General features: G+C 37.1%; 1 long non-coding RNA gene across 1 annotated transcript in view, besides 2 other annotated features; it reads right to left on the reverse strand.

Annotated features, from left to right (window-relative positions):
* Positions 1-679: 679 nt before the first annotated feature.
* LOC124901750 (uncharacterized) overlaps positions 680-22,833 on the reverse strand; it is a 224,798-nt gene continuing 202,644 nt past the window's right edge. Inside the window, exon 2 of the long non-coding RNA XR_007060537.1 lies at positions 680-1,541. This is a non-coding gene — a long non-coding RNA (uncharacterized LOC124901750). The remainder of the gene's footprint in view (positions 1,542-22,833) is intronic.
* Positions 17,639-17,728: an enhancer, noted in NCBI's record as "active region_26691". NCBI's record gives its function as "activates an Ori minimal core promoter by ATAC-STARR-seq in GM12878 lymphoblastoid cells {active_cell/tissue: GM12878}" and the evidence as "EXISTENCE:reporter gene assay evidence [ECO:0000049][PMID:35858748]".
* Positions 21,459-21,879: a transcriptional cis regulatory region, noted in NCBI's record as "candidate enhancer chr7.4787 targeted for multiplex CRISPR interference". NCBI's record gives its function as "positively regulates BPGM gene expression with high confidence in K562 cells {active_cell/tissue: K562}" and the evidence as "EXISTENCE:mutant phenotype evidence [ECO:0000015][PMID:30612741]".

A 22,833-nucleotide genomic window follows, 5' to 3' on the forward strand; every position in this document is an offset into this window, starting at 1 on the left:
TTGTTTTCAGCCACAAATTTGTGGTTCTTTGTTAAGGTAGCCCTAGGAAACTGATACAGGGTGGGAACTCCTATTTTAGTCGTGTGAAGAGTGAATGGTCTGGAAAAACACAATGATGTATTCATGTGGCTAGGGAGACTAAGACCACCTGTAGTCCCTGAAACTTTGGGGGTAATCTCCTTCAAGTTCCCTTTAGAAAAATATGGCTCCTCTTCCAGAAACCACATATCCTGATAGTCTGAAATATCTGTAGTTATTTTTAGGCCATTGTTCCATTTCCATGGAAGTGTTTGCAAAATTAGCCGGACATGGTGGCACGCAGTAGTCCCAGCTACTGGGGAGGCTGAGGCGGGAGGATCACTTGTGCCCAGGAGTTCATGGTTGCAGTGAGCTCTGATCACGCCACTGTACTCCAGCCTGAGTGACAGAGTGAGACCGTGTCCCAGGAAAAAAAAAAAGAAAAAAAGAAAGAGTTTGCAAATATTTTGTTTCCCAGGAAGTCATAATACCCTTATGATTCAGTCAGCCTGATTCTGCAGTCCTGAAATCTCGGCTTGCAGCAGATGTGTGCTGAGAAGGCTGTGCTTACAGAGAGCAGCCTCCCAGATCCCTGTATGCCCTGATTCCTGGCTTGTCTCATCTGGAATAAAAAGAAGTAACAACCAACACTGCACTTTGATGCTTTTATTCATTTGCTGCTTTTATTCATCTGTTCTCCACCTCAAGTGCCCTCACCCCACTTGGGGAGTCCTGGCTTATCCTTCAAGACTTGCCCAAATGCCTTCTGCCCTGTGAAGTCCTCCTTGAAACTGAAGAAGCAATTATTCTTCCTTCTACGTTCCCACAGAACTCTGCACCTCTATTAAAGGACTTATTAAATTCTATTACAGCTTAGTTTTTATGTAACTGTCTTCCCTGAAACACTCCAGAGGTGGCATCATGACTTACTCATGTCTGAATCACCAGCACTTAATCTAGAACCTAGCTCAATAGTTTTCATATAAATTAAGAAAAGCAATACCTTAGAAAATCTCTAGTAGCCAAATTCAAAGTTTCTCTAAAGTGTACAACTGCTATGATTTAACTTCCTCTATTTTGGATTTCAAGCCACTAGAATTTGGAACAGGAACAAAGTAGTGCAGAAATTATTGTGTACTATGTGAGCAGAGTTCAGTGCAAAATTATGGAGGTATGTAAGTGTTTGTAGCTTTGGCATTATGGTCAGGGGAAACTTCTTTCCTTCAGAGGAAAAGGGCAGTGTCATCCCTGGGATCACAAGCTTCTTGAACATGTGGAAGGTGGGTTCTTCCTATTTTGGATTTCAGCTCAGCAAAGGCTTTCCTGAATTAATCACTGAAGAAGCACACGGCACCATATTTCCTTCATCTGGTCACTGCAGAAAGCAAAAATGTTTATACCAGATGGTGCTCAATGTGATGTCATCATTCCATGGTTTATCCAAATTCCCTCTTTCATCATGTTTTGCTTGGAGTTACACCTGGAGTTTTATGTATCTGCAAATATTCAGAATGAATTCTCAGCTGTGGAAGAAAAAAATAGATGATGCTCTAAGCTTATGTGTAAATATCCTTTGTAGAAAAGATGAAACATTTCAATGAATAAAAGCTGAGGGCAAAAGGAAGGTTTGAGTAGGTAAGTGGTGTATGTTCCCATGGGAACAAGCAGCTGCTGCCAACAAATGCATGAGAAAAGGCTATAGAGTCTTTCTATGATTCAGGCTAAAACTAAATTTGTAAAGGAGTCGAAACACACATGAATCATCCCCTCTTGTCCACTGTGATCATGACTATCTCCAAGTCAAAAGCTAGCCAAGAATCACAATGAAGACTAGCCTGTTGTGACAACTGAAGTTGTTTGCACTAAATATCTCCACCAAGGAATTCCAACAGCTTCTAACATCTACCACATAACAATTTAGATTAATTGGCCTATTAAGACCCTCATAATCTGGCACCATGATCTCTATCCCATCTAATTTCTGACCACTTTCCTATATGGGCTAAGGTGGTCTCACTATTCCCTGAACATTCTTGTTCATTCTTAACTCCAAAACCTTTCTCATATACTTTCTCTGTCTTCTAGCACTGTTTCCTTCTTCTTCATCTATTCAAACCAATTTATTCTTAAATTCCAGTGCTAGGATTATCTGATCTGTGAGGTTTGTCATGATTGCAAATCATACTGTTTCTCCCTGCTCTGGATTTCTGTACTGTCCCTCAAGAACTGGAGGTGCAAGCTAATGTTTCTATTGATGTCAATCATCATTAATGGACACTCTTTGGTTCACACACTGTGCTAGCAGCATAATGGACATTTCCTGTTGTTCTGCTCCCTATTTTCTTTGCTGTTCCTTTGTTTCAAACCATTTAAAATAGTTTTTTTCCCCTTCCTCCCGATGATCAATATAACTAAGGGCTTTTTGTTCCTCTTCAATCCTATATAAGGAAAATATTTTCCTCCCCTTCTTAAGATAGGAAAGAATTGGTGGATACTAAGCTTGGTGAAATCTGTTGGAATCTTCAACTTTAACCCCTTCCAAATTGAGGGGCTCAAATAAACCTTAGTTAAAGCACAAATTAGTTACTAATTAGGGAGCTCCTGTACAGATAAGGGAGTATTAGTTTTGGACCATTTGGCCACTTTTTTGGATATCCAGATTGTAGAATTACCAACAGGCATACTCATTGGTGTGTACTGAGTCTCAGACAGGATTCAGAATGAGAGTAATTCTTTTGGGATCTGAACCTTGCAGGAAAATAAAAATAGACAAAGCTTGATTAGGGTCTCAAAGTCTGGCAATACCAGTTTAACCATGAACAGATAATGAAATCTTCATAATAACATTTGATTGGTATCTAAAACCCCAAAATGCCTCTATTTCTAGGGCAATACTATCTCTACATTTTAAAAAAGTTTCTGGATGCCAAGATATTTAGCTTGATTTTATTTATTTATTTTTTATTTCAACAGGTTTTTGGAAAACAGGTGGTATTTGATTACATGGATAAGTTATTTAGTGATGATTTCTGAGATTTTTGTACACCCATCACCTGAGTAGTGTACACTGTAAAGTCACTCTTGTTCACTTACGAAGAATGAGAAGAAAAACTCTGAAACAAAAATTCTCCTGCCTTTAATTGAACAAACTGTAGCCCACTCTAGAATGACTTTTCTGTAGCTGGCCCACTGTGGTAGAGTACTTTCAAAAATATTCACTCCTTCCCCCTTTTACCTCCACAAGGGAAATATCCTTCCCCAAATCCTTGACTTTGGGTTTGGCTGCATGGCTTGCCTTGGCAGATGTGACAGAAATAGGGGGTTGAAATGTGCTTGAGTGGTTGGGCCTGGCCTCTTGCACCCCTATCATTGCAACGAGAAGAGTGTGTCTTGACTAGTCATTGCAACGAGAAGAGTGTGTCTTGACTAGTCACTGGTCCAAGGCACATGAAGAAGATGAAGCAGAGCCACCCAGCTGACCTGCAGCTCTGTGAGATTAAATGATTGCTATTTTAAGATACCGAGTTTTGGGGTGGTTTGTGACACAGAATTTTTGTGGCAATAGCTGATACACATCCCAATAGCTCCACAAACGGTCATTATCTTCCCAAGTTCTGTTTCTGTCCCCAGAAAATATCATTCTTGACCGAAAAAATGCAAATATAATATTTTCCTATGGGCTTCTAACTCAAACGGCATAGGGTGTTTCAGAAAAATGTTCCTATTTAATTAGTTCAGTTTGTTTTTATTCCTGACATCATGCTTCCCTCTAAGTACTGTGAGTGCACAGAGGGAAATGTGAGTCTGTGTGCTCAGGTACTTTTTAAATTTCAGGCTTAGGGGAGTCTATGATCCCTAAGTCTGACACTGTCTCATGAACTGTGAAGAACTTGAAGACAGGAGGCTCTATCAGCCTCTCAGCAAGAGAGACAGCACACTCAGCTTTGTTGTGTAGAGGCTTTTTCATAAAGGAAATATTTAGAGGTGTGGTTCGGGTTAGAGGAACTAGCAAGGGATGTTGAGGTGCCCAGACACTAGGAATAGCAGGGAGTTCTGATGATCCCCAGGCCTGAACAGTAGGGGGAGAAAACGCAATTTTTGGAGACTGGCTAAGAGTTAGAGTCAAGATGGGCTGCCCAACGGTAGCTATAGTTTGAGTGATGAGGCCATTGATAGAACCACGGTGAAGCAGATGGTGAGTGGGAATAAATGGTGAGGAGAGATATATTGAAAATAAATATTCCAACATCTTCTCCTCCCACTGACCAGAGGGCAAGGGAACCTCGGTAACACAGTACCTAGAGGTCAGGTTCCCAGGACAAAGAACATAACAGAACACAGAATAAATCTGCAACGAATCAAAGAACAACCACAACAGATGTTTATGAATACTTGCCCCAGTTTTCTCAGGAAAGAAGGCATGGGGAAAGGGAGGGCAAGAAATGAGTTGCGTTTACAAGGAAATTGGTTACAGAGAGTTTACAAAGTCTTCAATTTTGAATTGAGTAGCAAAAAGATGGAAAATTAGATGACCTGTGACTGGGCCAGTAGATGTCTTTGCATTGCATATATCAACCTCAAGCACTTCTCTAAAAGTATCATGAGACAAAACTGTAGCACTAGACGGCATCAGTGAAATTAACCTTAAAGTACCTGGAAGATAAGTATTTTGAGGAGGGCTATCAGATCAAGCTTCTGGTCTTAATCTCTGGGTTTGACATTGGGATTTTAGAAGAAATATTTAAATGGATAGCGAAGTAAAAGGTATATGGATGCCAGGAGATTCCTGAGCTATAGAACTCTGACACTATTTCAATTTTTTGATAATCTTCTGATTCTTCACCTATGAAAATATTATATGAAACTACTTACCAAATTTATCAACCCATGACACATCCACAAACCCAAACTTGCCAGAATACTTTCATTGTCGTGTTAATGTGTTTGAAGGAGAGTGTGGAGGGCGGGGAACACAGGAGACTCCTTGGTCTACATGTCCATACATGCATATCCACATACCAGCATCAGCCATCTCTCTTTCTCCAGCAAAATTACTCTTGCTTTCCATTTCTGTTGTCCAAAATGGGCAAAGGTGAGTGAGTAAAACCAAAACACCAATACACTGAGGATGTCTTTTATTATACACAGAAGTATCCTACTATGCTAGAAAACAATATTATACTAATTTTCTTAGAGAAACAAAGTAGCTGACTATTCATCTGATTCAAATATATGTGAGACACACTTTTTTATCCTTCAGATACAATTTTCACATCGTACTTTCTCTTTAGATTTTATAGTTGGCCCAGTTTCCCCTTGAATGCGAGCCTTATAAGCTTTTTGTACCTCTTAACATCAAACTCAATGAATAACTAAGACTTGGGCTATTTGTATTGCCCAAATGGGAAATGGGGGAGGGTGAAGGAAGAGAATCCTCCCCTCTCCATTCGAAGGTTCCAGGGGGCTACAAAGAGATAATGGTTGATGTTGATTCTAGAAAACTGGTTCTCATGAAGTTTTCAAGCTGATTTCCTTATGTATTAACTTCACTAAAAGAAGGATTCCTTTTGATAAGTGAGGACAAAAAGGCATCATTGAATACCAATTACAAAAAGAAAAAAAATCTACAAGTACAATATTTTGCTTCAAATAAAATATATTTATGTGGTTGCTATGTTTTTGTTGATAGTCAATATATGTAAATATTTAGCTAAATTATGAAAATTCAAGAAAGATCACAGCTATTGGAAGTAGCAGGCTAGCTAAAAGCCTCTGCAGCATTGCTTGAACAGAAACAGACCAAAGGCAGATTATGTCTGAAGATGTGTTGATTATATCTCCTTAAAGAAATAATAAGTTCTTTAAAAGGGCAATATAAGCAACATTCATGTACTTATGAGAAATGTGTAACTAAATACTTCATTGCTTAACTAAACATTTATTGGATGCCTATCGGTGATTAGAATGAATGATTGGGGGTTCCAGTTAATTAACTACCTGAATTTGTCTTCCTATATATAATTTTCCAGGAAGAAAATAATATAACAAAAAGGAAATGGTTACAAAGTAACAAACATTTTATTTCCCAGTCTAATCTTTTTCAACCTATATTTATACCCAGAGGACTGCGTGGTATGTTCAGCATCATGTATCTTGGCTTCTGTCAAGATGAATATTTTGTATTGATCAACGCTTTACACTTTACAAAGCCCTTTCAAATACTTATTTCCTTTGACTTCTAAGTCTTACTGCACCATTGTGTAGATGGAAAAATTGAGTCTGAAGTGGTGATTTCCCCAATGTTATTCTACTTCATGCCCACTAGAATAGCTAAAATCTAAGACTGACAGTATCAAGTATTGGTAAGGATGCAGAACAATTAAAACTCACATATATTGCTGATGGAAGTATAAAATGATATAACCACTTTGACAAAAAGTTTGGCAGTTTCTTATAAAGTTAAACACATCTTCTGATTCAGCAATTGCAGTTGTAGGTAAGTATCCAAGGTAAGTGAAAATACATGTTCACAAAAAGACTTGTAGAAGAATGTTCATAGCAGCTCTATTCACTGTAGTCAAAAATTGAAAACGACCCAAATGTCCATCAACAACAGGATGGGTAAACAAGTTGTAGTATATTAGCACTTAGCATTAAAAAGAATGAATTACTGTACTGATACATCCAATAACATGAATAAAACATAATGCTGAGGAAAGAAGCTGCATACAACAGAGTATATATTGTATGTTTCCACTTATATGAAGTTCTAGAACAGGTAAAGCTAATCTAAGGTGAAAAAATTCAGTAGTGCCTTTGAGGGTTTGGGGCATTGCTCCCAAGGGAGGACTTTTTTTCTTACGAGATGGAAATATGGTGAGGGTATAGACACACAGCTCAAATTGTTCAATTAATACTTGTGCATCTCAATGTATGTATATTTTACCTTAAAAACTGTAAAAACAATAACAATCAGATGGAGGAGTTTGGAGTGGAGGTTTAGATAAAAGAAGCGAGGCAGAACATTGATACTACAAGTTGAGTGATGAGTGATGTCCTTTATATTCTTCTGTTTATGTATGCTTGAAATTTTCCACAAAAAAAAGTTTTAAAAAAGACAATAAGGAAAAATGATCAAAAGGCTTTCAGGGAACTGGAAATAGTTCAGTATGGCTGGAGCAGAGAGTGTGTTTTCCACTCTTTCATTTCATAGGAATCTTCCCAGACAGTGGTGAACTGAAAACACCGAATCTCTTAGTCACATCTGATTCTACAGCAAGGATGGTTACAATGACTAGCTAACACAAACGAATAATTGTGGTGGAAAAAACAGATGTTTGTATCTCAAGTGTAAACATAACTTACCAAATATTATTACTTGAAGTACTTGGCAACAATTGGAAAAAGAATTTAAATATGAGCCATGTAGCTACCATGGGATATGGACATGTTTAATGGTACAGGCTCAGACCAGTATAATCCCCTTCCATAACTTGGTAACGCTCCTGACATTGCAATAAGTAAACTAAACCACACCCAGTCAGCAACTAATTAAAAAACAATAAATGTCTTATAAATAAAAAAATTATGTATCTGAAAATATGTGGGAAATATGCTCAATAAATCATCTGATTCATCACTTCTTATTTTAATACAGATTATTGCAAAGCTGTGGGTATTTCAATAATAAATCTACATTAAGTTTTCTTCACCTGAATGCAGTGCATTCTTGTTTGTGTATGTGTATGTGTGTGAAGTTGGGGCTCTGTGTAGACTTAGAGTGAATTACAGATTTCTATTTTAGGAAGAGAACTTAAAAGTTCCCTTTAATTTTACAAATGAGGGAACTAAAACCAAGAGAAACGAAGTGACTTGTCCAAGGTAAAAAGGTGTAAGACCACAGATCAGATCTGATTTCTTCAAATTGAAGTAGACTGTTTACAATGTGTATGAATCTAAAATGCTTTCCATGAGCTGCATCCATATTGAATAACTCAAGAAAAGTTTGTCTTGGCAATTCACAGAACACTATTCAAATACAGAATTGTTTAAAAGGCTTCTAGTGCACTAGTGGAAATATTCTTCTGCCCCATGGAGATTATAATACTGAAGCAGACAGATATCTTCAAAAGGTTGTGGAAAACAGCCAATTTACCATTTGTCTATGCTTGCTTATAGAGCATTAGAGAGGATATTGAACTACCAAAACCCTTTCCTCTATTTTCTCTTCTTGCCTAGCTCTTTACTTGGGTGCCACCACATGCTCTTTATACCACTGTGTTTCAAGCTATGGGTTACAATCCACTTATGAGTTATACAATCAACTTAATGGCCACAATCAGCATTTTTGAAATTAAATTTATTAGATTAGAAAATATCAGTGGACAACACTCATAAGGTTAGGGCAAGTTATTTCATGAAATTCCTGTTTCAGTCATAAATATATGTGTGTACACTGTGTGGAAATGTAAAACATTTTTTTACTGTGGATCAGTCAAGAGTACTTGAGAGCAGATGGCTTTTGTAGGTCCTCAGAGGGACTTGGACATGCTTTAACTCTGATTACCCCTTCCTCAACTTGTGTGTTCATGGTGTGCACGATTTTATTCTTATTTTTAAGTCGACACAAATGAGATGTTATTATAATCATTTATTCTCATAATATACAATGTACAATGTCTGTATTTACCTACATGTTTGCTAATTTCTTTGCATCTGTGAAATTTTTTAATGTGGTAACTTTCATAAAACACAACATTCACCATTTAATCATTTAACCCCAACTCAGTGGCATTCAGTACAGTGATGTGCAACCATCATCGCTATCTATTTCTAGAACATTTTTATCAGCCACAAAGGAAACTCCCTATTCACTAAGCAATCACTTTCCATTCCTCCCTCCCCTACAGCATCTGGAAATCAGTAACCTGCTATCTATCTCTATGGATTCTGGATATTCCACATAAATGAAATCATACAATATGCGGCATTTTGTGTCTGGCTTCTTTAAATTAGCATGTTTTTGAGATTCATTCAAGTTGTAGCATGTATCAGTTATTCATTCCTTTTTGTGGCTGAATATTTCATTGTATGAATATACATTGTATGAATATACCATCTATCCATTGATAGACATTTAGGCTGCTTCCACCTTTTGGCTACAGTGAGCAGTGCTGTTATGAACATTTGTGTACAAATACTTATTTGAATATCTGCTTTCAGTTCTTTAGGGGTATATACCTAGGAGCAGGATTACTGGTTCATAAGGCAATACTATGTTTAATTTTTTGAAGAATCACCAAACTGTTACAATCTATTAGTAGGTTATGAAATCAAACTCTTTCCCACAGTGGCTGTACCATTTTAAATGCCCACCAGTAGTGTACAAAGACTCCAATTTCTCCACGTCCTTTCCAACACATTATTTTTCATTTTAGAAAGATGATAGCCATTCTAGTGGGTATGAGGTGGTATCTCATTATGGTTTCAATTTGCATTTCCCTAGTCACTAACAATGCTAAACATTTTTTCATGTGCCTGTTGGCCATTTGTACATCTTCTTTGGATAAATGTCCATACAAGTCCTTTGCCCATTTTTAAATGAGATGTTTGTCTTTTGTTGTTGAGCTGTAAAAGTTCTTTATATATTCTGGATACTAGATCTTTATCATTTATATGATTTGCAAATAATTCTATGTTGTCTTTTTACTTCCTTGGTAATGTCTTTTGATGAATAAAAGCTTTTGAATCCAATTTACTTCTTCTTTTGTTGCTTGTGCATTTGGTGTCATATTTAAGAAATCATTGCCAAATTCAAGATTGTGAAGTCTACCCTTATGTTTTTTTCCTAAGGATATTACAATTTTAGCTCTTAAATTTAGGTCTTTGATCCATTTTGAGTTAATTTTTGTATATGGTGTGAGGTTAGAGTCCAACTGTATTCTTCTGCATGTGAATACTCTGAACTTTTTAGAATCCTATTTCCTCTTTCTGAAATACATTTCTTAAAAGTTTGTTCAGAAATGATTTCTTGGTAATAATTTCTACGTGTTTTTTTGGTAATGTCTTTATTACCACTGTATTCTGGCTTCCATTGCTGTTACTGAGAAACTTGACATCATTTTTCCACCTTTGTAAATTTTCTACCTCTTTTTTCTGCCTGCTTTTAAATAGTCTTTGGTTTTACTAAAATATATCTGAGAGTGGCTTTCTTTTTATCTAGTCTACCTTGGACTCTTGTTTCTTCTATCTGTGGATTCATGACCTTTCTTCAGTTCTGGAAAATTCTCAGGCTTTGTATCTTCAAATATTGTCTTTCCTCTATTTTCTCTATTCTCTCTTTCTGGAACTGCACTTACATATGTTATATTTACTCATTCTATCCTCCAATGAGGATAACATTTAGCTTCTTTAATATTTATCTCCTATCTCTCTGTATTATGAGTATTTCCTTTAGATTTAATTCTCTCTTCCTGTGTATATTCTGCTGGCTAATTTATTGGGTTATTGATTTCAATAATGATATTTTTATTTCTAAATATCTTAATTCATTCTTTTTTTCAAATGTGCCTGGTATTTTAAATTAGAGTTATATTTTGATCATTTTTCAGTTTTTATTCCATCTTTAATATCTTAAAACATTTGCTGATAATTGCTTTTTACTATAATAATTTCATTATCTTAAATTCTCAAGAACTTGTGTGTTTTTGTTTTTTCCTAATTTTGTTCATGATATATTTGTTAATATCTTATTATACATTATATTTTATTGAATTTAATATTTCCAAATCAGAAGGCCTTAAATTCGGAATTTGCATTTGCTTTATGGATCCAGGAGGAAGTACTCATCTGGGACTACTCTAGAGCTCTTCAAATATATTGGCTTAATGAGAGAGTCTCGTTTTCTTTGCAGAAAGCCCAGAGCTTAATCTTCGAATTCCAGTGCTGGCACTGACATTTTCCCCAAGGTAATCCTAGCCTTTTCGTTTGTTTAAACTGTTCATCATTCCAGTTTTAGTTGTTTTTCATTTTCTATTTTTGGCAAATGGGGATATTCCTTATTTCTTGTCAGTCAGTGTGATATCATAGAAAGATACTTGGCCTTTGTTCCTGATTTCTGGCACACAGTTCCCAAAACTCTTAGAATTTCCTGAGTGATAAAGGGTGATAGGAGTATTTTTTGTTCTAGTGACATGACTTTTTGTGGGCTTCTAGGTAGCTTCAGGAGGGTGGCTGTTCCAGAAAAACCAGCCTTGATTAGAAGCTTGGAACATTCCACCCACCTCCCTCTAATCTCTAGCACAGGGAAAGGAGCTGGAGAATGAATTGATTGCTGGTGGCCAATGATTTAATCATTGCCCACAGATAAAACTTCCATAAGAAACCCTAAATGATGACATTTGGAGAGCTTCCAGGTTGGTGAACACATCAAGATGCTGGGGGAGTGACATGACCAGAGAAGGCATGGGAGCCCCATACCCCTGATCCCAAACCTTGCCCTACGAATCTCCTTCACTTTACCATTCCAGAGTGGTAGCATTGATAATAAACCAGTGAATTTGGTGAGCTGTTCTCACAAATCATCAAACCTGAGGAGGGGGTCATGAGAACCTCTGATTTATAGCTGGTCACTCAGAAGGATGGGAGGCCCGGGACTTACGGCTGGCATCCGAAGACTGTGTTGAGGGGTAGTCCTGTAGTACTGAGTTCGAAACCTGTGGCGTCTGCACTAACTCTGGGTTGTTAGTGTTAGAACTGAACTGAATGAGTGGACACTCAGCTGGTGTCCAGAGAGCTGGAGAAGTGATACTGGAAAAGACACCATGTATTTGGCATCAGGAGGAATAAATGTCTCAGTAGCAGTGTTTTAAAAATTATATTTGAAATTCATCCAGGCTTCAGTCATATTGTAGTGGGAGAGTCATTCTATCTAGTCCATCATAATCCTAGCAGTAAATGGAATAGAATGTTTTTCTCTATATCCGCTGAAGGTTTTGACTTTGGAAGAAAAAAAAGGAAGTGAGATGTGAATAATAAACCATGGGTAACAGGGTTTGGTTTGGTTTAGTTTCTTAAACCATGATTATACCATGTTTATTTTTCTGAGGGCTAGAAAGATAGCAAAATACATGGAGAAAAGTTAACTGTAAAAGGGGCTAGAAGAGCTTGACACCTAAAGGTAAAAGAGAGAAAATGTTTCCTTATAGTTAATTACTTAAAATAAGTAGTATTTTCATAAAATAATAAGGTTCTTGAGAACAAGGACAGTATCTCTTTCATATTGCTTATTCATCAAAGAATAAGCACCTATGCACTTTTGGGGATCCAAAACTACTATGCTAAAATGATTGTCAAGGTCGTGTAGACTTATCCTGAGGTCACACAGCCACTGTAACAGATCATAGGAGTAGACTAAAGTCTCCTGACTCCAGGCCATGCTTGCGTATTATATCACACTACACCACTGAACTGAGTCAATATCAATTATTCAAGTATATGGCATTGCATACCACAAAGAAGGAGAAAAAATACTCTATTTGGATTCAATTGTTTTCTTCTTTACTGATTACTTCATACATAACCTGTTTGTTGAAAGAAGCACATTCTCTATGACTATACATCCTCAATTGTATGTTTAAAAAAATAATTCATACTGTAAGGACACAGTCATTGTGTATGTATACAGCTCAACTTCCTCAGTTGCTAAGGATGAATACTGCTCAGGATTAAACATGAAAAGCAGCTCTAGCTAGAGGCCAAGAAAGAGCTGATTTGTACATCAAAGTCATGGTGTCTAAGAGCTATAAATGGTAAATATGTGATGAAAGAGGTTAAGAGAAAAAAGAGAGGTGTACATGCATGAGGTGAGTCAGGCTGGGGTCTGAAATTCTAAAAGGTGGATATGTTTTGCTGATTTGGGGGTAGTTTTAAAGCAGTCAAGATTTGACTGCTATCTCTGGATTTATCCACCTCCCTTCAGAGTGGGCCTGAGTAGAACTGGATTGGAGTTTCTTTAGTGGTTTGTTTAGTGAAGGTTGTCACATGGTTGAAGGTTTGCTTGTAGCACTGTGGACTCCCATTTGGTCATCAGGTGTTGTACTTGTTTTTTCCAAGATAACCTATACAGCACCTCCTCACTTCCTCCAGTAACAGAGGTGAGCTATGGAGGCAGGGTATATTGGATAGATGCAGCTAGGCTGGGTACAGCAGGGAGCAGTGAAGGGCAAGTGTACATATGTGTCTGTGTGGGTGTGTGTGTGTGTGAAAAGCTAGAGATGAAAGTGACATAATGACAACTCTGGATACCCAAGAATGGGCACAGGACTCTGTCCCACAGCTCCCAGCTGTGATTTGTAGTACAGATCTGCTAGCAAGAGACTACAACCACCTTGCTACTTCAATAGCTTTCTCTGATGTGTGGGTTTGCAGTTAAGATCTTATAGCTCTATTTGACTATAGATGGATTCAGCAAGGAATGATAAAAGATGAGGTAGATACACAGAGAAAAGTAGTGGATGTGGGGAGACCAGTCAGGAGGTTACTGCAGTCAATAAGAAAGGATGGCAACCTGAATAGCAAAAGGGTTATAAGTACAATGAAAACAGATATTTTAAAATTATAAGAAAATACAACATAAAATTTTGGTGCCATAAACTTGAAAATCTAGATGAAATGGCTGATTATACAGAAAACACAAATTAACAAAATTGATTCAAGAAGAGATAAGAAACAGGAATAGACCAGCTAGCAGCAGAGGTCAGGGAAAAGGTGAGGTGGTGAACAGCATATGAAAAGATCTACCCTATAAAACATCTCTAAGCTTGAATGACTATGCAAAAAAAACCCTATCAGACATTCAGAGTGTAGATCATTTCCATGATATCCAAATTATGTCAAAGCATCAAAACCAGGAACTTTTGCAATTCATCTCACAAGGTTAGAATAACCTAGAATTACAATCTAACAGTCATTGAAAATTACAGACCAGGCTCTCAAATAAAAATAGATAAGAAATCCTGAATAAAACATGTAACAATTGAATCTAACAGTATATTTAGAAAATATACTGTGCCCAAGTAGGTTTTTATTTCAGAAATTAAAGAATAGCTAAATATTAAATATTCTATTGTGTAAATACTATATGGTGTAAATACTATTTATTTACATAATATAAAAGAATCAATTAATTAATTTAATTAATAGAATAGAAGATAAAGCAAGCAAAAGATAAAGAGTCAGTAATTAGAGAAGTTGGAGGCTAGAAGTAGCCAGTTTGGGGTCTGGTCAAAATACAGGGAAGATGATTATTCCAAGTAAAGAAGAGGGACAATGAGACAATTAAAGTACCACAAGATGTTAAGATCTCTAAGGAGATCTCAGTTGTCCAATAGACATTTGAGGTGGATGCTGAGTGTGGGCTTTTGGCCACAGACACCTCTGAGGAGGCAATCTGTCCATCACTCACTTGGTGACCATGGGCCATTTAATTCAAATCTCTGTGACCCTAAATTCTCACCTAAAAATATGAGGCTAATGTGATGTAGTATATCTTTCAGGGTTGTTGTGAGGACTAAACGAGATAATGAGAACTAAGTAGTTAGCACAGAACCTGGCACATAATAAATTATGGTAGCTGCTATCTTGATTATTAATGTATTTTTTTAAACTGAGACCGGATTGACAACCCCTTCATATGTGCTTTCTTCTCTGACCACCAGAGAGCAGACCAACATTACCCTTCCAGAACGAGCAAATACCTCAGGTTCCACAGCCTGAGAGTTCAGAATGTTTTCGGTAAGCTGCTCTTCTATAAATTTTGTCAGAAGAGCAAACTAACCTTTGTGAAAGGCATAGCAAAATGTCTGCTTTCTTCTTTATATTTTAGTTGAGAAAGGACTGGGATGTAAGTTAAATAGTCACTGAATATGAAATTACATGTAAATATCGAGATACACCATATCTGGCATTAGGAATCAAGATGATAACTTGATGTATTACTTTTCTTTTTGCTTTACATTGTAGGACACTTTTTGAAGTGCTATTATATAGATATAATAGGTATAAATATAATAGATGTAAATATTCCATTTTATCTTCACAATAACAGTGTGAACTACACAGGCCAGAGCACGTTGTTCCAATTTAACTGGTGTGAAAACTGAGGCTTATTAGAGTTTAGTGGCTCATCTAAAGACACACATATATTTGGTGTCACAATCTGAACTTCACCGGATCCGAAGACCACAGCACATACAGGAGTGCTCTTTTGGTTCTCTTTCCCTCCTTCTCTCCCTTCCTGTGTCCTTCCTGCCCTTCTTTTCTTGCTTCCCTCTTTATATTTTCTTTCCTTTCCCCTAGCTCCCCCCTACTTTTTCTTCACTTCCTTCTTCATTATGCAATATTCCACACATATATATGATCTAAATAAAATGAATGTGATTAACCCACCATTCAGCTAAGAAATATTACCAGTATCTCTGAAGCCCAACTGCACACCATACCCAACCTGTAACCTGGATTTTGTAATAATTTTCCTTTTCGTTCTAGTTGTATCATCTTATCACTTATGCATCCCTACAAATATATACATTATTTATTTGCATATTGTTGGACTTTATGTAAATGAAATCATTCTCTCTCTTTTTTTTTTTTTGCTCAAAATTATGTATCTGAGATTTATCCGTGTTGATGTGTATAGCTGTGGTTCATTCATTTTCACAGCTTACAGTACTCCATTTTATTCATCTGTTCTCTTACTACTGGGCTTTTGGGTGATTTTCAGTTTTGTGCTATCATAAACAAAGCTGTATATGACTCTTGCTGTACATATGCCAAACTTTCTCCAAGGTATTCACCTAGGAATGAAATTACTGGTTCATGAAGTGTACTTACCTACAACTTTACAGCTAATGCCGAATTGTTTTCCAAATTAGTTTTACCAATTCCTATGAGCTTATTACTTTGCATTCTCACCAACATGAAATTGTCAGAAATTTTAGCCAATTTCACACCTAATGCTCAGATTTTGGTTTTCAAACACCATTCTGCAATAAAAGGAACCAGCTTCCTTGGAGAAATAGCTGATTCCAGGGCTAGGGCAAGTAATAAACAAGATGATCTTGGAATATCTTGTAGTGCCAGAGAGTAAGAAAATGCTCCACGAAACAAAAACAAACAAAAACACAGCAGCCAATCACTAAGGAGCTCCTAATTGCCAAACCTGGAACAATCAGAGCAGCAAAATAAATACAGTGTACCCTAGAACAACATGGGTTTGAGCTGTGAGGGTCCACATACACATGGATTTCCTTCCACCTCTGCCACCCTGAGACAGCAAGACTAACACCTCCTCTTCCTCGTCCTCCTCAGCCTACTCAGTGTGAAGTCGACGATGATGAAGACCTTTATGATGATCCATTTCCACTTAATCAATAGTAAACATATTTTCTCTTCCTTATAATTTTCTTAATAACATTTTATTTTGTCTATTTTAAGAATACAGTATATCATACATATACAAAATATGTATTAATTGATAACGTTTTCTGGAAGGCTTCTGGCCAACAGTATGCTGGAAGTAGTTAAATTTTTTGGGAGCCAAAAGTTATAAGTGGATTTTTTTACTGCATGGGGGTCAGTGGCCCTAATTCCCATGGTATTCAAGAGTCAACAGTATAGTATTGGATTATAAACCATAAAATATAATAAGCTTCCATGAATTCATACTGATATAAATAAATAAATAGGGGAGATGGGACAGCTCTTCCTTGTGATAGAATTTGAATTAATAAATGTAAAATGAAAGAAAAACACAAAAAGTCTTCACTAAATACCACCATAATAACTCTTGCAGACATCCTCCATCAAGAGATGCTAAAATTAGTGGGTGAAAGTTTGAGTCGAAATAAAGTTTGAATCATTTCAAAATACCTTCCCTAAAATATTGACGACAAAGAGAAAGACAGTAATTTTACCAGGGAGAAACTTGGCAGAAAGCAACTTAATCAAGTGATCGAGGTTACCACTACCAGTAATAAGATATCAACATCATGAGCCCTGCAATTTGATGCAGTGAGGACATAGCATCATTTCATGGTAGTCTCACACAACATGCATAACTAGAGTTCAATCACAAGAACACATTAGACGAACTCAAAATTGAGGGACATTTGACAAAATAATGTCTATTCTTCAAAAATATCAAGGCCATGAAAGATAAGAAAAGGCCAGGCATTGACTTCTCTCTAGCTATGAAAGTCCGAGTTGGCAACTTCTTCCAATAGAAGGCTGTTTCATTTACATTAAAAATCTGTTTAGTGTAGCCACCTTCATCAATGATCTTAGCTAGATCTCCTGGCTAAGTTGCTGCAGCTTCTACATGAGCACTTGCTGCTTCACTTTGCATTTTAATGCTATAAAGACACGTTCCTTCCTTAAACCTCATGAATCAACCTCTGTTAGCTTCCAACTTTTTTCTCTTTAGTTTGAAGCTTTTTTTCTGCAGCTTCCTCACCTTTCTCAGCCTTTATAAAATTGGAGAGAGTTACAGCCTTGCTCTGGATTAGGCTTGGACTTAAGGGAATGTTGTGGCTAGCTTGATCTCCTATCTAGACCACTAAAACCTCCATATCAGCAATAACACTGTTTCACTTTCTTATCATTTGTGTGTTCCCTAGAGTTTAATTTCCTTCAAGAACTTTTGCTTTGCATTCACAGCTTGGCTGTTTGGTGCAAGAGCCTTAGCTTTCAGCCTCTCTGACTTTCAACATGCCTTCCTCACTAAGCTTAATCATTTCTAGCTTTCGATTTCAAGTGAGAGACATGTGATTTCCCTTAACTGGAACACTTACAGGTCACTGTAGGACTATTAATTGGCCTAATTCCAATGTTGTTGTGTCTCAGAGAATAAGTAGGCCCGAGGAAATGGGGAGAGATGGGGGAATGGCTGGTCAGTCAAGCAGTCAGAACACACACATTTATCAATTAACTTTGATGTAGTATATGGGTGTAGTTCATTGCACACCAAAGCAATACAATAGTAACATTAAAGACAACTCATCACAGATCGCCATAACATATATAATAATGAAAAAGTTTGAAATGTCCTGAGAATTATCAAAATGTGGAAGAGATACAAAGTGAGCAGATGCTGTTGGAAAAAAATGGCGCCAATGGACTTGCTTGACAAAGGGCTGCTACAAACCTTCAATTTGTGAAAAATGCAGTATCTGCAGCATGAAGTAAAGTGAAGAGCAATAAAATGGGGTATCTGTACAGATATTAAACTGAATTAAATATTTCCATTTGGTTCAATGACAGTAACTTATAAGAATGGTTGATTAGAGATTGCTGGGAGATAATTGCTGGGCACCAAGCCACTTTTTAGTAATAGTTTCAAAATTTACAGTGATTGGAATAGTGAGTTTATATTTGGTGGTGCATGAAAAAACAAGGAGATACATCATAAAAACCTTGGAAACAATAGAATCATTATCTTTTATAGCTTATAAAATGGTGGGCTGAGCTTCTGAGTCTACAAAATTGAGTGGGAAACCTTACACATAGTGAGTTTACCAAAGCTAGTGTCACCTCAATGGTTTTCCAGGCCTCATTGCCCACATTTTGTTTTAAACTTCTTTGGGTCCTAGGAAGGTGCCCCCTTGGACAACAATTAAGAAAAGCCCAGACCACATTTCTATCATTCAGGCCTTCTTTCACTTCCTTTTCAAGGCTACATTCATTTCTCTTACCTGTGTCTGTAGCGATAGATGGTATTTTCTTTTCTTTTTTTTTTTTAGATGGAGTCTCGCTCTGTGGCCCAGGCAGAAGTGCAGTGGCATGATCTCAGCTCACTGCAACCTCCACCTCCCAGGTTCAAGCTATTCTCCTGCCTCAGCCTCCTGAATAATTCGGATTATAGGTGAATGCCACCATGCCCGGCTAATTTTTTTTTCTTTTCTTTTTTTTTTTTTTTTTTTTTTTTTGTATTTTTGATAGAGGCAGGGTTTCACCATGTTGGCCAGGCTGGTCTTAAACTCCTGACCTTGCGATCAATCCACCTCAGCCTCCCAAAGTGCTGGGATTACAGGAATGAGCCACCACACCCAGCTGATAGATGGTATTTTCTAAGCAACAAATGAGGGTATTTGAGCCGAAAAAAACGTGCCTCTCTTCCAAGAAAGAATGGATAGACAATTTCAAAAATTAGCCAGTATTGGGAAATCAGCAGAGTAGTTACTGTGCTCCAATCCCACCTCTTTCTGTAAATGACACATGGAGGGTATAACACAAGGATTTAGTCTGGGGGTGGGGCCAGGCAAGGAAGTCTATACTGCTAGTTGGGAGGAATCTTCACATTGACTAATTCTCCATGGTCACAGAGTTCCTTTCATACCGCTCCCTCTAATTTCCATTATCAGAGTCTTTAAACCTATGTCAATGTATTTCTTTTAAAATGTGATCCAAGAAAGGGCCACTTTAGAAGAATGAGCTCAAAGACTGTGCTTTCCCTGCTCCTCTGACCCCACCAGGTTTCCAGCACTTCATCTCCAGTATCTTCAGTCTCTCCACTGTTTCTTCCAGGCCAGTTTCCAGTGGAAAGACTGCATCTAATGTCCTTGAGTTCTTCTTCTGTTGCTGGTTGAGATATGCCGTTGCCCCAGGCAGCAATGGCAGCAGTTCAGGATTCCCAACCTCTTTCAAAACAGGAAGCCCCACCCCTTAAGCAACCACCTTCTAGTGTAGTACATGCTAGACCGTGCTACCTGGGAGGAGTGGAAATAGCATCCTCTACAGCGGCCTTTGCTCTCAGAGCACATCAGGGCTTTGGCTCTGTGTTTCTATTCTGTCTTTGGTCCACGGAAATGTTTATACTGTTTTCGAACCCTAGAATATATTTTGGGCATTTTCTTTTTATGTTATTTAATACTGCTGGATGTTTACAGTGGAAACCTACTATGCAATTCTGACTGGAAATTCTGTGCATATTTAAACATTGCTCAGAATTCACCTCTTCCATCAAATATCTAAACTTATTACAACCCTGCACTTACGCTCTCCCTTTCCACCCCAAAATACTCTGTGAGCCCTTACTCATTCTACTTGCACTTGTATTTGTTGGACTGTAACAAACACTTGAGTTAGTCTTTCCCCTACTGGACCTTGAGGACAAGGAGGATGTTTAATTTATTTATATATCTCTTGTACTTGGCACAGTGACTTGTTTATAGTAGGCACGAAAAATACTAATTCATTTCCTTCAAAATTCCTAACACAAGTTCTTGAACATTAGGAGGAATTCAATGAATAATTGGTTACTTATTGATTTGCTAGTTGAGACCAGAACCTGTACACTTCTGAAGACTTTACTTATTCTTCTTCTTTATCCTTTTTTTTTCTCCTTTTTCTCCCATTTTTAGAGAGGGCAGAGATGCAGCAAAGCATAAGGAAATAGATGAGTTTAGGAGAAGAGAATATGCTATAGTTACCTTTTTTCAGAAGAAAAGAAATGAAAGCATTTTCCATAATATTTTGTTAGAGGTTGGTCTATTCTTGTTTTACTGAATATAGCTGGGTTTGGAGCTGAGAACACAGGTCCTTTCCTGCTGTGCATAAAAACAATTATCTACAGAAGGGAAACTCTAGCAATATATCAATGCCAGGCCTTTATACACTTGTTGGTATTCTGATGGTGAAGACATGTATGTCATTTGGCACTGCAGTTCCTTCTTTGTTTCGGCTGTGATAGTGATCCAGGATCCTAGCAATCTAAACATCATCTTACTTCGAATTACCAAGCTTTGAAGCCTTTGCCATTACTCACTTTATAAGTCGTAACTTAGTAAAGAGAACATCATATGAGAGTGATTTTTCTTCCCTATCTGATTTTTACATCTTCTGGTTGCAAACAGCAATTTACCTATTCCTCTTATCTGATACCTCACAGAGTGACAACATCAGAAACTAGTTAGGACACTCACCTGGCAGAGACTGGAATTTAGTGGTTGGTACTGACTGATGATATAAACAATTAATTATTTACTCTCTTCATTCCTTATTTCAAAAGTTACTAATAAATGAAGCCAGTCAAGCTATTTCTTACATTTTATTATTTTTAAATTTTATATTTTTATTTTAATTTTATATTTTTAAATTTTATTATAAAAATAAATTTTATTAAATTTATTTTATAAGGATTTTATTTTATAAGGATTCTGTGAGTACTTAAATGAGAAACATAAAGAACTTTGTCTCACTCATGTTGGAATCATAGCTCTTTAGGAAAAAAGTAGCATCTCTCTAGACATAAAATAACAACTATAAGTTGCTATAGAAACAACAGCTCTCAAAGCCAGTAGAGAACATTTTTAAAAAGGGTGCCCCTTAGAATCTCAGGTAGCCTCCAAAATGCTTACACCCAAAGAAAAAGTATTTTACATAGACGGGCTTAGTTTAGAGGTTTAAGATGATTTCATCTTTAAATAGATAGCCTTTACTCTCCGTTGTGATTTTTATACTGTTTTAGATTTCTTAAAAAGTTTTCCCCTCTCTATTTTTCAGACCCATTAGGCTTCATGTCATCTCAGCTGACTAGCATCTGTGGCCTGGCACTTGTTTTGACTAAGTAATCATATGCCTTTCTCTACCTAGTGCAGCCCCTGGAACCTTATCTGCTAGGACCAGCCTTTCACTGCCCTAGGAAGGCCTCCCAGTTGCGTGTTACATCTGTTTTTCTCTGGAAGAAAACAAGAGAAAACAATTAAGAAGGTTGATTTTACCCTATACATAAGAAACTTCAATTCTCATTCTGTGCTTTAACTGCTTTTGTATTTAAGCAATTCTTTCGTCTACTTTGAGCCTCTATTTTCTCAACTATAAAATAAGGGAGTTGAGCTACATGATTTCTGTTTCTTTCAGAGCTAACATTTTCAGTCCACACATAAAATTTAACATTATTCTTATAAGTTTATATATATCACATTTTATTGTAAACTCCTAGGGTCTAAAGGCATAAATGTTTTTAAAAAGACATGTACTTATTTATTTGTGTGAATCTATACACAAAAAGTACTATTTAGCAAAAAAAAAAAAGACAGGAAATTTAATCTATTTCTTTTTTGATGCATTCATTTATTAACATATATTAATTGAGCACCTAATGCCAGACATTGTGGACAAGTGGTAAACCAAAGCAACAGGGCCCATATGTTTAGGGAGCTTGAAGACCAATGGAGAAACAGATCATATACAGTGTAAGTAGATTTGTGTAAAGTTCTATAAAGAAGAAGTGCACGGTGCCTAGGAGATATAAGCCAGGTAGGATCAAGTTTTTCCAGGAGGATGACCACTCAATAAATATCAAAGTTGAATAGGAATCATTAGACTAAGGGGCAGGGAGTGGGGAAGGGAGGAAGAAGAGAAGGAGGGGAAGGATGTAGCATTCTAGGTAGGGAATACACATGTGTGAAGGCCAAATGATCATAGGGAGAAGGAAGGGTCACTATAAGGAGCAATGGGAAGCCACTGTTCTAAGCTGGGGAGTGGTAGGGGGTGACTTGTGACACAATCACTAAGGTATTCTACCATATCACCCACCCCTGGCTGCCTAGAAGAGAGTAAAAGTGGATTCAGAAAGACTTGTTAGGAGGCTACTGAGAAAATGCCGGCAAGAGGTGATGGTAGCTTGGGCTAAGGTGTTGGTAGTGTGTTAGGGGTGTGGTGTGTCTGTGAATAGGATGAGGAGGATGGAAAAAAATATTTGAAACATAAACCTTGATTGATACTGATTTGGATTAGATTGTGTAAAGAGGCTTTAAT

Source organism: Homo sapiens, chromosome 7, assembly GCF_000001405.40.
Source record: "Homo sapiens chromosome 7, GRCh38.p14 Primary Assembly".
Classification (NCBI taxonomy): Eukaryota; Metazoa; Chordata; class Mammalia; order Primates; family Hominidae; genus Homo; species Homo sapiens.